General features: G+C 41.3%; 1 protein-coding gene across 1 annotated transcript in view; it reads right to left on the bottom strand.

Annotated features, from left to right (window-relative positions):
* CR1L (complement C3b/C4b receptor 1 like) overlaps positions 1 to 15981 on the bottom strand; it is a 78571-nt gene that overhangs the window by 46589 nt on the left and 16001 nt on the right. The gene's annotated exons all lie outside the window — the stretch shown is intronic.

Below are 15981 nucleotides of genomic sequence, written 5' to 3'. Positions count from 1 at the left end.
CCTCAGGTGATCTGCCCACCTCTGCCTCCCAAAGTCCTGGGATTACAGGTGTGAGCCACCATGCCCTGCTGAAATTCCCACTCTACTTCCTCTTTCTCTCAAATATACTGCATAGATGTGATCAAAAAAGAAAAAGAAGACTTCACTAATAGCCAAGGGAGCTGGGTGTGGTGGCTCATGTCTGTAATTCCAGCACTTTGGGAGACCAAGGTGGGTGGGTCACTGGAGGTCAGGAGTTCGAGACCAGTTTGGCCAACATGGTGAAACCCCGTCTCTACTAAAAATACAAAAAATTAGCAGAGCATGGTGGCATGTGCCTGTAGTCCAAGCTACTTGGGAGACTGAGGCAGGAGAATCATTTGAACCCAGGAGGCAGAGGTTGCAGTGAGCCAAGACTGTGCCACTGCACTCCAGCCTGGGTGACAGAGCAAGACTCCATCTTAACAATAATAATAACAATAATAGCAAAGAGATTGATTCCTTTAGAACTTTGGTCCCCAATCTTTTTGGCACCTGAGACTCGTTTTGTGGAAGACAATTTTTACGTGAATGGAGGGTGCAGGGAAATGGTTTTGAGATGGAACTGTTCCACTCAGATCATCAGGCATTAGATTCTCATAGGGAACATGCAACCTAGATCCCTCGTATGCACAGTTCACAATAGGGTTTCTGCTCCTATGAGAATCTAATGCTGCCAGTGATCTGACAGGAGGTGGAGCTCAGGCAGTAATGCTTGGCCGCTCACCTCCTACTGTTCTGCTCAGTTCCTAACAGGCCACCGGACAGTACCGGTTTATGCCCCAGGGGTTGAGGACACCTGCTTTAAAACATGCCTTAGAAATGGGCTCTTTTTTTAAAAAAAAAATCAGCATCCATCCATTTAAAAAGTCTCTGCTAGTTTGAAGAAAACTAAGCTATTTATATCATCTTTCACTAAAGGGGAAGCTGCAATTCACAGCTTCAAATTTTAGTTAATCAGTAAGTGCCTGTGTTGTAGCTTCTCTCCCATCCTCATTTATCATACTTTCTTGTAAAGTATGAGTGTAAGATACACTCATGCATTTTACCATCCACCTTCACACTCAGTGGACACTCAGATTCAGTGGGAGTACACATCTCCTCTTTGGCCCTCAGTAGCAGCCACCAATGTTGGAAGTCTGTCGCCACGTCAATCTTGAGCACAAAGAGTGAACAAAGCTCAACAACTAAAGCTATACTTTACCATAAAGAAGACGTATTTTCTCATAGATATTTCATATTATATAGTAGACTCAGCTAGGCCCCTTAAGGCCTTGTAGATTTAATTTAAAGCAACAAAAATCACAGAGTCAAACAGTATGTAATCAAGAAGATATATCTGTTGAAAAAGAATAGCATCTTACTCTAGTTTTGGAAATATCTTGTTTGTTTTGTTTTCATTTCTGTTCCTTCCCACACCTTCCACTAATTAATTGGGTAGATTGAGGCCAGAGGTCAATTTTATTAGACTTAAAAGAACCAACTTTTGGCTTTGTACAAAGATGCCCTTGTCTATGTTTCCTGCTTCATCTCTTACCACTGGGTCCCCTCACCAAGGTGTGGTGGCCCTTTCCCCTTTTTCAGTTTCCTGAAGACACACATTTTTCCCCTGTCTATGACATTCCTTTTGTGTGATGCACTTTTATCTTGGCTATGACTTCAATTCTTCCTCCAGGTGTTTGCTAAAATACCACCTTCTTATCGAAGCCTTCCCTGGCCTGTCTATGGCCATACCACCCTGAACGCACCCAATCTAGTCTGATGCCTTCCCTGACCCTCTCAGGGATTTGGAATCTAAACTACTTCCCTCTGCCCCACCCTATAATTTCTAGTCAGGCCCTTTCCTTTTCCTTTCATATCAATAATTGTTTGTGGTTGCAATTTGTGCTTTTTAATTTTGTGTGCTTTTAGAAGTATCTATTTCTCTCAAAAGATATTAGATATGTATAATTTGAGGGCAAATGATGACATGTTTTTTGTACTTCTAAATTAATACCTAGTCCTTGTGCTTAACACTCAGTTATAAGCACTCAATGCATATTTGTTGCAATGATCAAATAATTGAAGAATTACTTATAAAACTTAAAAAAAAATGAAGAGTCCACGCTATGTCCCCAGAATCTCTGATTTAGTGGGTCTGGGTTAGAGCCCAGGAGTCTATATTTTTTAAAAGTTTCACAGCTGATTTGGATAGATAACAGCACTTTGAGAACCACTGTATAAAAAAAAAAACACGAATAAAACAGTTCCGTGACTTTCAGTGTTATGCATTCACCTTTCCTCTAGTTGATATGTGGGATGAAATACAATTTTGATATGTGTCTTATGCATTGATGCTAGACAAAGGAAGAGATTCCAAGTGGAGCTCTCCTAGCGCCAAAAGCTGTATTAAGAGAGGGTAAACGTCACAACAAAGCTTGCAATGAGAGGTTAGAACTAGATCAAAGCAACAAAGCAAATATAATGAACCATTCTTGGAAAGAAAGAAGTTCCTTCCCCTTAATTACCTAATATTCTTACCTTTATAGTAGTATATGCATAGTATAGGTAATAATATAAATTTGCGTAGTAGCCCAAAAAAGGAACATATGAGCCTTCAACAAAGAATGCTTGATGTAGTTTCCTTTCCCTCTTTATTACCAATCCCTCAATTTGTGGCTGGTTCTTATGATAAATATATTAATATAAACTCCATAAACTCAAGACCTACCATAAGTTTAAAAAGTTTTTATAGCTTTATTAAGATGTATTACATAAAATGGTTGATGAGTATTTAAAGTGTACAATTTGATTACTTATATATATGCCCTGTGAAACCATCACCAAATGAAGACAATGAACATTTCCATCATACCCTTCACCCCACACAGTTCCCTCATGTCCTTCTGTAATGCATCCAAACATCCACTTCCTTCTCTAGGCAACCTTCGACCTGTTTTCTCTTACTACAGATTGATTTGACTTTCTAAAATTTCATATAACCCGAATCACTTCGTTTATATCCTATCATATAAAGGAAATCACTCCGATTGTTTTAAATGTTTTAGCCTTCACACAGCATAATTAGAGTTCTATCTAGGTTGCTGCACATATACAAATTGTTTCCTTTTGTTGCTGGGTAATATTCAATTGTATAAATATATGTTAATTTAGTTTATCCATTCACTTGTTGAGGGACATTTGGATTGTTCCCACTCGTTGGCTATTACAAACAAAACTGTTATGAAAATTCATGTACAAGTCTTTTTGTGGACATATGATTTCATTTCTCTTGGGTAAAAACCTAAGAGTAAAATGCTGAGTAATATGACAGGTGTGTGTGTAAGGTTTTAAGAAACGGTTGAACTATTTTCTAAAGTTATGTTGTAATTTTACCTGCCGAATAGCAGTATATTATAATTCCAGCTTCTCCACTTTATTGCCAACACTTGGTTTGGTCAATCTTTTCCATTTTAGCCATTCTAGTGGGTATATTTTGTTATCTCATTTCGGGTTTTTTCTTGTATGACTCAGCCCAATTTCATGCACTCCTGGTTCAGATCTTCCATTCAAAGCAAGCTGATTTATTCTGTGCTATACGCACAATTAACACATCATCACTTTCATGTCTGCGCAAATATGAGCTGTCAACCCGAAGTACACTCTGCTTTCCATTCTGCATACTTACCCTTTAAGGAACAGACTTGCACTTGCTTTGCTTAGGCATGTCTGTCAGCTTAAAAAAAGAGCATGCACTTTCAAAAATATAAAGTAATAAATTATATATGTACACAAATATAAATTATATGCCTAAATATAAATTTTTGAAATGTAAAACAGATAAAATAAACATTTTAAATGCTCTGTTAATCATGATCACTTAACACAATCATTAGTTGACATCTAAGGGGACAAAAAACAGCCACAGTGAGTTCCTCTGGTCACAATAGTGAATGTAAAGCTGTATTTCAACTGTCTTCATGATACTTTCTAGATTTTTTGGTTTCATCAAGTTGTGATCAGTTGTGATTAGATTGACAGCATTTGTTTCTCTTAATGTCTCTGACAAAAGAAATTTGTATACATGTGTCTTTGCAGGGAGGGTGAGAGGGATTGTCAACTCTGCCATTTTCTTGTTTTCTGGAGTTCGTCTTATTAAGTGATCTTCACCCAGTATTTCTGTGTAGGACAGTTTTGATGTTGCCTGTCCGAATGTGAAGTTTATTTTAGATAACAGTAGATAATATAAATCATACATCTACTCATCCGAGCATATGTAAACCAGAATACATCACAAAGCACAGAAAGCAAATTGGAATTACCCTTCTTTCTATCTTGCACCTTTACCTAGCAGGGAAAACCAAATCAGATCCTACATGAGGACCATGTGAGGGCGCCAGAGTCTACCCTATGTTAAACACTCCCTGGTAAAGCTTAATTAGCATACTATTTTTATGGCTCACAATGTGGTCTATCCCCATGAATGTGAGCCAGAGAATGTCTTTTGCTGTTGTTGGATGAAGTCGTCTGTATATGTCAATTATATCCAAGTGGATTGATGGTGCTGTTGAGTTCAAGTATGTCCTTATGGATTTTCTGCCTGCTGAATCTGCCCATTTCTGATAAAGAGACTTCAGCACCTTTATCTTTTCTGATATCAGAAAAGATAAAGGTGCTGAAGTCTCCAACTATGATAGTGCATTCATCTATTTCTCCTTGCAGTTCTATCAGCTTTGCCCCACATATTTTGTTTCTCTGTCAGATGGATACATATTAGATATTGTTATGCCTTCTTGGAGAATTAGCCCCTTTATCATTATATGATGACCCTCTTTATTCCTAATAATTTTCCTTCGTCTGAAGTCTGCTGTGTTTGAAATTAACACAGCTACTCCTGCTTTCTGTGACTAGCATTAGCATGGTATATCTTTACCCATTTACTTTTAATATATATTGTCTATATTTAAAATGGTCTTATAGGGAGTACACAATATATAGTTGAGTTTTGTTTGTTGATCGACTCTGATGATCTGTTTCAATTGGTGCCTTTAGATCATTGACACTCAAAATGATGGTTGATATAGTTGGTTTAATATGTTACTTGTTTCTATTTGTTGTCTTTCTTCTCTTGTTCTCTGTTTCTATTTTTTGTCTTGCATTCTTTTCCTGACCTTTATTTTATTTTATTTTTATTTTTGAGACAGAGTCTCACTCTTTCGCCCAGGCTGGAGTGTAGTGGCATGATCTCGGCTCACTGCAACCTCTGCCTCCCAGGTTCAAGAGATTCTCCTGCCTCAGCCTCCTGAGTAGCTGGGATTACAGGCACCCACCATCATGCCCAGCTAATTTTTGGATTTTTGTAGAAATGGGTATTCACCATGTTGGCCAGGCTGGTCTCAAAGTCCTGACCTCAAGTTATCTACCCTGCCTCCTAAAGTGCTGGGATTATAGGTGTGAGCCACTGCGCCTGGCCCCGTTTATTGTTTTAACTGAGCATTTTATATGATGCAATTCACTCTTCCTTACTGGCATATCAATTGTACTTCTTTTTTTCACTTTTTTCAGTAGTTGCCCTAAGTTTGCAATATCTATTTGCAGCTAATCTAAGTTCTCTTTCAAATAGCACCATACCACTTCATGGGTAGTAGGAGTACCCTCTAATGACAAAACAATCCTAGTTCCTCTGTTATTTTTTATATATAAATATTCCCATAAACTGTCCTATGCAACCTGTTTCTGGATTCACTCTTCAAGTGCTAGTAAAGTCATACTCTTTTCCCTCACCCTTTCCTGATCATAGGAGTTGAGATTTCTCCCTTTTCAGTGATCCTGCAGTCTTGCACGACTGCTTAGTCATGGTTTTTCAGACATGCATGAGGGTTTTCAGATTACAAAACGCTGTCACATGCACTACCCCACCTGATTTTCAAAATACCTCTCTCAGAAATCAGGATGTCAGTCATGCTCATTTTATACACGTGGACACTGAAGGTCAGTGATGTGACTTAAGTTGCTGGGTCCACAGCCCCAGTTGGTAAGTAGCAGAGTCTGGAAAAACCAGAACACTGGCTTCCTAAAAAGTAGATTTCATAAAACTCCACCACCTACTTCTATATGCATACACCTTGGGAGCATAGCTCTTTCTCTTACATTTCTTTTAAATTCCAAAGGACTGTGCACACCGGAAGCATCCATAAGCATTTTAAAATTGAAATTACTCCAGCAACAAAATTTCTAGGTAGTTTAGTTTAGGCTGTTTCACATTTGGAGGTTATTGTGAGAACCTCAGTAAGCACTGACAACAGATTGCTTAACTTACTGGGCATGCTTCTCTCCTAAAAATAAAATTGTAAGTTTTATCATATCTCTTCACTAGACAGGTTACTTTCTGGTGCCTAAGGAGATCAAATATTAATAACAACTCTTGGGGGAACTTGGTTTTCTTTTCCCCTTACTCTTTTAGAGAAGAAGGAACACTCAAATAATGAATGCAAAACGTCTAGTGGCAGAGAAGGACGAACCCTGAGTTGTCAGGAAGAGACAGGACCAAAACAACCAAAACTGTCACTTCAAGTGAGATGTTGCCAGTGAGTCTAGGCAACCAAGAAGACTTCTGGGGAGCCCAAAACTAATAATAGAAGGGTTCTAACTGAAGATGTTTACCTACTTGAAGTTAAAAAAAGGAAGAGATGTGGCCTCAAAATTTCCATAGTAGTTATAATAGGCTTTATTTTGTACTAAACACATCACTAAAATGCAAATTGTAAACATATCTACTGTCCCTTCTACCTGCAGCGGTTACATTGCATGTTCTGGGGCTTCCCTTGCTCTTCTAATCCCCAAGTGCCTGGCATGCATCTGTCTTAAAGTATGCTGTCAATCAAGTGCATCATGATGATGGCGGTGGTGGCTTGGGGTAGGGGACGAGGACAGTTCCATGCAGGACATCCCTAGGACTGCTTGTCTAAACACCACTGGGAGCAAAGTGCAGAGGTAACGGTTGGGGGATAGAAATGGACTCGGGGACAGGCCCTGTGTTAGATACTCGACAGGCTTTATGCCACTGAGGCAGCAACTCCACAATGCAGAGATACCAGTGTCCCCATTTTACAGAAGAGCAAACAGACTTAGGTGTGCTAACTTGCCTCACAGTTAAGTTTCTAGGACCAGAACTCAGGTTTGTCGGATCCCCAAGTCCCGTTTCGCTAGGATCGACGCCACGCTCGGCTATAGCCAGCCGAGGCTGTGAATACACAAAGGCAAGGAATTTCGTGCGGCACCCGCTCAGCATCTGCGCCTTCCACTGCGCTCGTCACGACTTAAGCCCCTGCACGTGGGAACTCCACGCTTACCTAGAGGCAGCGAGGGTCTCCAGTGCGCAGAAGGATCCCAGACCCGCCGCCCTGCCAGGTAGCGCGCTCAGCCCACCCATCGCGCTGCCTTTGGACCCGGGCGCGCAGAGCAGCGCAGCCCAGCGCGGCACGCGAGTTCTCTGCGGGGCCCTGGGTGCCTCGTCAGCCCGGGCGCCTCCCCACGCCCCCCAGCGTTTCACCCCAGGCCACCGGCAGCGCGAGCAGCACCACGACCGCCAGCAGGGATCCTCCGCAGCAGAAGGGGAGACCGGGCGCCGGCTGCCCAACAGGCTCCCGGCTTCTCGGAGAAGAGACCCCCATCCTCCCGAAGCACATCTACAAACCAGATTTGATCTCGAAGAAAACTGAAATAAGAGGAAAAGCGCAGTGCAAAGAGGAGTGACCAATCCTTGTGCTCCGCGCCCAGAGCATGGGGAGGGCTGCGGGGTTCCGGGACAAAATGCTTTTGACCAGCTTCCCCTTCATGGGCAAGGCCATGTTTACTCCCCATTTGCATTGTTTCTAACGAGTTTCGCTGGCAGAGCCCACCTTGCTGACCCAGGTGCAGCAGCAGAGCTTGACAATGCTTGGGCTTCCGATGGATCCCGCGTGTGAGGCCCTGCGCTTCCTTCCAGACAAAGGCGGTGGATGATGGCAACTCACCTCCAAACACCCTGCTTGACTTTTCCTCTTTGCAAGAATGTGTGTGGGAAGGTCAGCTAATGAAATGCCTGCTCTCTGTGTTGAAGGGCAATTGCAGGCGATGTGTACAGTGCACAGGGAATGTGAAGAACCAATTTCCTTATCGTGAATTGAGATGTCATGCCATTGTAAGATTTTTAAAAAGGGAAGGACAATTAGATATATATTCAAAAAATGTAAATCTGTGTATAGTATGGAGACTAGATTAAAGCAATAATGGAGAGGGGAGACCAGCCAGGGAGCTTTTGCTGACATCCAAGTGAGGTTTGATGGTGGCCCTGACTGGGTGGATAAAGTGGACAATTAACAAAGATATTGGAGATGGAATGAACAGTTGCTCATGTATTGGATTTTGGTTACTTCCTTTCTTAAGGTTAGTAGTGAGAAGAAAGCAATCAAGAGTTAGCCCCAGGATTAGCAATGAATATGGATGTAGGAGTGACAGATGTAGGGCAGAGGGTTAAGTATTCAAGGATGAATTTATTCTTATGTATCTGTGACCCTGTGCCCTTTAACCAATCTCTCTCCATCTCCCATTGTCTCTCCCTACCCCAACCTCTGGTAACCAGTATTCTACTCTCTACTTCTATGAGATGAGCTTTTTTAGATTGCACATGACTGATATCATACAGGATTTGTCTTTCTGTGCCTGATTTACTTCATTTAATATAATATCCCCTAGATTCATCCATGTTGCTGCAAATGATAGGATTTCATTCTTTCTTATGGCTGAATAGTATTCCCTTGTGTATATATACCACATTTTATTTATCCATTCGTCCATTGGTGAACACTTGGGTTGATTCCATACCTTGGCTATTGTGAATAGTGCATCATTGAATGTGAGAGTGCAGATATCTTTTCATCATACTGGTTTCCTTTCTTTTGGGTATATACCCAGTAGTGGGATTGCTGGATCATATGGTAGTTCTGCTTTTAATTTTTTGAGAAACCTCCATACTATTTCCCATAATGGCCATATTAATTTGGATTCCCTAACAGTGTATAAGAGGTCTCTATTTTCCACATCCTCAGCAGCATTTGTTATCTTTTATCTTTTTGATAAGAGCTCTGATAACTAGGGTGAGGTGATATCTCTCTCTGGTTTTATTTTGTATTTCTCTGATGACTAAGAATGTTGAGCATTTTGTTTTATATTCGTTGGCCATTTCTATGTCTTCTTTTGAGTGATGTCTGTTCAGGTCTTGTGCCCACTTTTAAATAATATTATTTGTTTTATTTTGCTGAGTTGTTTGAGTTCCTCAGATATTCTGGATATTAACCCCTTGTCAAAGGCATAGGTTGCAAACATTTTCTCACATTCTGTAGGTTTTTTTCTTCACTCTGTTGTTTCCTTTGCTGTATCCCATAAATGTGTACAATCATTATGAGCCAATTTAAAAAATAACAATAAAAAACAATCCAAGAATGAGAGAAAAGGAGGAGTGCGTGGTAGGCTGAATAATGTTCCCCCAAAATGTCCTCATCCTACATCCCAGAATCTGTGAGTGTTACCTTGCAGTTTAGGACTTTGCAGTTGGATATTGAGATGGAAAGAGTATCTTGGAGTAGCTAGGTGAACCTGATATGATCACAGGGATCCTTATAAGAGGAAGGTAATAGACCAGAAGGCAATGATGAAAACAGAGCTCAGAGTGTTGCTGCCATGAGCCAGGGAATGCTAGTGCCCCTTAGAAGCAAGAAACAGGTTCTCCACTGGAGCTTTCAGAAGGAGTCAGTCTTTTCAACACCTTGGTTTTCATCCTGTAAGACTCACTGTGGACTTACGATCTCCTGAAATGTGAAAGAATAGATTTGTGTTGTTTTAAACCACAAGATAATTTGTTACAGTAGCAATAGGAAACCATTGGGTGGGGAAGGGATAGCGCCATCAAGGTTAAGCAGCGAAAGTTTTTCATTGTTGTTGTTTTTTAAACTGAGAAAGATGTGGGCATGGGACAGATGGGGTTTAGTGAAGGCCAGGAGGTGTGAGAATGTTTAGGAAAAGATTGGGAATATAGGTAATTTGTTGATTATGAAAATGGACTTCCAAAAAAGGCACAAGAGGACTTTTGTAAAAGATAATGGATGGGAGATGGTCAAAATCACAGGAATCAATGAGACTGTTGAAGAGGGGCATGTAAAATTAATGAAAGGAAGATCTGAATGGAAATACATGATCCATATCCATGCAGGGGTTCTTTTATTAACTTTTACGTTTAGGGGTACATGTGCAGGTTTATTACATAGGTAAACTTGTGTCATGGGGGTTTGTTGTACAGATTATTTCACCACCCAAGTATTAAGCCTAGTACCATTAGTTATTTTTCCTAATCCTCTCCCTCTTCCTATCCTCTACCCTCCAATAGATCCCAGTATGTGTTGTTCCCCCACATCTGTCCATGTGTTCTCATCATTCAGCTCCCATTTATAAGTGAGAACATGCAGTATTTGGTTTCCTGTTCCTGCGTTAGTTTGCAATGGATAATGGCCTCTAGATCCATCCATGTCCCTGAAGAGGACATGATCTCATTCTTTTTTATGGCTGCATAGTATTCCATGGTGGATATGTAGCACATTTTCTTTATCCAGTCTATCACTGATGGGCATTGAAATTGATTCCATGTCTTTGCTATTGTGAATAGTCATGAGGGGTTCTTAATATCTTTATGTATCATGTATACACCTTTGCCTGGCTGGTCAGAATTATGAATCCCTTCTCAGAGCTGTTTTTTGTAATGCATAAGTAAATCACGTAGGACTATAAAGAAAGCCAATTATGTCAAAACACAGTTATAGCCATAAACCTTTGGAGTTCTATGGCTCCTAAGACAAGAATCTGGGACGTACAGTTTGGTAGAGACAGGAGTCAATTGTTTCCAGTGCTGGAGTTGGAAAGAGTTGTGTGAGGACGGAGTAACTCTAAATATCAAAGGCTGTAGAAAGGTGAGTAGAATTAGGGTTGAGTAGATAATGTAGCAGATATTTCAGTACACGTGTTAGCTCTTTCTCCTCCATGCATAACTGATTCATCATGGAGTAAAGATGCTTTAGGTAGAAAACTATTCTCTACTCAGTGCGGCTTCACTAATGGAGACCCATGTATACATGGTCCAACACACGTGTATCACTCAGGATGTATAGTCTTAGCTCACACAAACATTCCCGAATACTGCCTTACTTCATCTGACTGTCTTACTCAAGTCTCAGCTCCTCCTCCACTAGGTGAGAAAGGCTATGTTCCAAAGGCTACGTGTGTTTCTTATTTTTCATTGGTTTCCATTAGGCTTTCTCCCAATATTCTATTGGAGGAAATGTCTACTGTGATCATGTCACTTATCATACTTTTTAATACACCCAGTGTCATTCTTTGCCAGGCATGGTGGCTCACGCCTGTAATCCCAGCATTTTTGGAGGCTGAGGCGGGTGGATCACGAGGTCAGGAGTTCGAGACCAGCCTGGCCAACATGGTGAAACCCCATCTCTATTAAAAATACAAAAATTAGCCTGGCATGGTGTCGCACCTGTAATCCCAGCTACTCGGGAGGCTGAGCCAGGAGAATTGCTTGAACCCTGGAGATGGAGGTTGCAGTGAGCCGAGATCATGTCACTGGACTCCAGCCTGGGTGACAGAGCAAGGCTCCAACTAGAAAAAAAAATAATTTAATCTACATATATATTTGCACAAGTATGTAAGGATGCATGTACAAGAATGGTCACTACAGCTCACGCCTGTAATCCCAGCACTTTGGGATACCAAGGCAGATGGATCACAAGGTCAGGAGATCAAGATCATCCTGGCTAACATGGTGAAACTCTGTCTCTACTAAAAATACAAAAAAATTAGCCTGGCATGGTGGCGGGTGCCTGTAGCCCCAGCTACTCGGGAGGCTGAGGCAGGAGAATGGCGGGAACCCGGGAGGCAGAGCTTGCAGTGAGCCGAGATCATGCCACTGCACTCCAGCCTGGGCAACAGAGCAAGACTCCGTCTCAAAAAAAAACCAAAAAAATGCTCACTACGTTTCATATTTTATAATGGAAATCCTAGAAGATAACAAGTAATAAATCATAAAAGTAATGTGCTTGGGGTAAACATATGTATCTTTTTAAAAAACTGTTAAGTGGTATTATACTACATAATTTACATCTTCCTCTTTTCCGCTTAGGACTTCCTGGACATTTTTTCACATTAGCACATTTAGATCTACCTTAACATCATTATCTTGCTATTTATTCTTCCTCTTACTGATGACAAAAAATGACTGACAATCCCATGAGGAATTTTGATTTGTCATTTTTCAAAAAATACCCCTGTAGTTTCTCTTTTTTATAAACTTTTTCTCACAAGCAATTCTCTCCTCTGCTCTCAAACACTAAGCTAGATCAGTGTTTTATAAACACTTTATGAAATGCTTATAGTTAACTCTTTCAAAAGACTGTATCAACAAACTTAGTATTAGTACATATACCCACTAGGAGCATGTGAGTAAGCCTGGATACCTTATTGAGTATTAAATTCATATGCAATCTTGTTTTGCTCATATATCAGTCCACTAAAAAAACCATCTCTTCCTGCCCCTCAAAACCTACAGGACTCAACTAAGGAGGCTACCAGTTAACAGGCTTTTATAGGAATTATAAAATGGTATTCTAATTACTATGTTAACGTGCATAATTCCCCTAGATCCTTTAAAATATTAGGGAGATAGGAAATATATAAACAAATTAGAATCCAGTGATTGAGATTTGAGTTCAACAATCTCATTAAACTAAATGGAAACTGAAGACCACAGAAATGATGTTAATTAAGCATAGTCTACGCAGGCTAATGCTCTTCCTACAATTAGTCTCTTGCTTCTGCTGCAAGGAAAGTGAAACCAGAGATAGCAGTGCTGAAATCAGGACAATAATCCCTTCCATCATATCAAAATAATCTCTCCAGTCATAAGCACAGCTGCTGATCAGGAGTCCCTGCAAAAAGTCCTCTATTTCATCTCAGTAAATAAGGACTTTTCCTGCCTTTCAGTTGCTATAAATTTAGTTGCTATTGCCAGATAAAACTGCCCAGTAAAGAGAAAAAAAGAATAACATTATGAGGTGTGGAAGACTGCAGGCAGGGAAGAGACAGAAATATAGGTCGTGTTCTGCAGACAGCAGAAATTTCCCTGTTTAAATGTGTTACATCAAAAGACTCAAACTGGTTGCACTCCAGAAAATCAAAGAGTCCTGCAGTAGGAACAAACTCAGTAAAGGTGTCAACAGATCACTCTGAAAAGAATAAAATAGGAGGGAGGAGCCAAGATGGCCGAATAGGAACAGCTCCAGTCTACAGCTCCCAGTGTGAGCGACACAGAAGACGGGTGATTTCTGCATTTCCAACTGAGGTACCGGGTTCATCTCACTGGGGAGTGCAGGACAGTGGGTGCAGCGCACTGTGCATGAGCCGAAGCAGGGCGAGGCATCGCCTCACCTGGGAATCACAAGGGGTCAGGGAATTCCCTTTCCTAGTCAAAGAAAGGGGTGACAGATGGCACCTGGAAAATTGGGTCACTCCCACCCTAATACTGTGCTTTTCCAATGGCTTAACAAACGGCACACCAGGAGATTATATCCCGCACATGGCTCAGAGGGTCCTACGCCCACGGAGTCTTGCTCATTGCTAGCACAGCAGTCTGAGATCAAACTGCAAGGCAGCAGTGAGGCTGGGGGAGGGGCGCCCACCATTGCCGAGGCTTGAGTAGGTAAACAAAGCTGCGGGAAGCTCGAACTGGGTGGAGCCCATCACAGCTCAAGGAGGCCTGCCTGCCTCTGTAGGCTCCACCTCTGGGGGCAGGGCACAGACAAACAAAAGGTAGCAGAATCCTCTGCAGACTTAAATGTCCCTGTCTGACAGCTTTGAAGAGAGTAGTGGTTCTCCCAGCACGCAGCTTGAGATCTGAGAACGGGCAGACTACCTCCTCAAGTGGGTCCCTGACCCCCAAATAGCCTAACTGGGAGGCACCCCCCAGTAGGGGCGGACTGACACCTCACACAGCGGGTACTCCTCTGAGACAAAACTTCCAAAGGAAGATCAGGCAGCAGCATTTGCAGTTCACCAGTATCCGCTGTTCTGCAGCCACCGCTGCTGACATCCAGGCAAACAGGGTCTAGAGTGGACCTCCAGCAAACTCCAACAGACCTGCAGCTGAGGGTCCTGACTGTTAGAAGGAAAACTAACAAACAGAAAGGACATCCACACCAAAAACCTATCTGTATGTCACCATCATCAAAGACCAAAGGTAGATAAAACTACAAAGATGGGGAAAAAACAGAGCAGAAAAACTGGAAACACTAAAAATCAGAGCGCTTCTCCTCCTCCAAAGGAACGCAGCTCCTCACCAGCAAAGGAACAAAGCTGGATGGAGAATGACTTTGATGAGTTGAGAGAAGAAGGCTTCAGACGATCAAACTACTCTGAGCTAAAGGAGGAAGTTCGAACCCATGGCAAAGAAATTAAAAACCTTGAAAAAAAATTAGATGAATGTCTAACTAGAATAACCAATGCAGAGAAGTCCTTAAAGGACCTGATGGAGCTGAAAACTATGGCACGAGAACTACGTGACGAATGCACAAGCCTCAGTAGCTGATTCAATCAACTGGAAGAAAGGGTATCAGAGATGGAAGATCAAATGAATCAAATGAAGTGAGAAGAGAAGTTTAGAGAAAAAAGAATAAAAAGAAATGAACAAAGCCTCCAAGAAATATGGGACTATATGGAAAGACCAAATCTACGTCTGATTGGTGTACCTGAAAGTGATGGGGAGAATGGAACCAAGTTGGAAAACACTCTGCAGGATATTATCCAGGAGAACTTCCCCAGTCTAGCAAGGCAGGCCAACATTCAAATTCAGGAAATACAGAGAACACCACAAAGATACTCCTCAAGAAGAGCAACTCCAAGACACATAATTGTCAGATTCACCAAAGTTGAAATGAAGGAAAAAAATGTTAAGGGCAGCCAGAGAGAAAGGTCGGGTTACCCACAAAGGGACGCCCATCAGACTAACAGCGGATCTCTCAGCAGAAACTCTACAAGCCAGAAGAGAGTGAGGGCCAATATTCAACATTCTTAAAGAAAAGAATTTTCAACCCAGAATTTCATATCCAGCCAAACTAAGCTTCATAAGTGAAGGAGAAATAAAATACTTTACAGACAAGCAAATGCTGAGAGATTTTGTCACCACCAGGCCTGCCCTAAAACAGCTTCTGAAGGAAGCACTAAACATGGAAAGGAACAATCGGTACCAGCCACTGCAAAAACATGCCAAATTGTAAAGACCATCAAGGCTAGGAAGAAACTGCATCAACTAACGAGCAAAATAACCAGCTAACATCATAATGACAGGATCAAATTCACACATAACAATATTAACCTTAAATGTAAATGGGCTAAATGCTCCAATTAAAAGACACAGACTGGCAAATAGGATAAAGAGTCAAGACCCATCAGTGTGCTGTTTTCAGGAAACCCATCTCATGTGCAGAGACACACATAGGCTCAAAATAAAGGGATGGAGGAAGATCTACCAAGCAAATGGAAAACAAAAAAAAGGCAGGGGTTGCAATCCTAGTCTCTGATAAAACAGACTTTAAACCAACAAAGAACAAAAGAGACAAAGAAGACCATTACATAATGATAAAGGGATCAATTCAACAAGAAGAGCTAACTATCCTAAATATATATGCACCCAATACAGGAGCACCCAGATTCATAAAGCAAGTCCTTAGTGACCTACAAAGAGACTTAGACTCCCACACAATAATAATGGGAGAGTTTAACACCCCACTGTCAACATTAGACGATCAATGAGACAGAAAGTTAACAAGGATATCCAGGAATTGAACTCAGCTCTGCACCAAGCAGACCTAATAGACATCTACAGAACTCTCC

The sequence above is a fragment of the Homo sapiens genome, chromosome 1 (genome assembly GCF_000001405.40).
Source record: "Homo sapiens chromosome 1, GRCh38.p14 Primary Assembly".
Lineage (NCBI taxonomy): Eukaryota > Metazoa > Chordata > Mammalia > Primates > Hominidae > Homo > Homo sapiens.
This window is presented reverse-complemented; position numbering and strand designations above follow the sequence as displayed.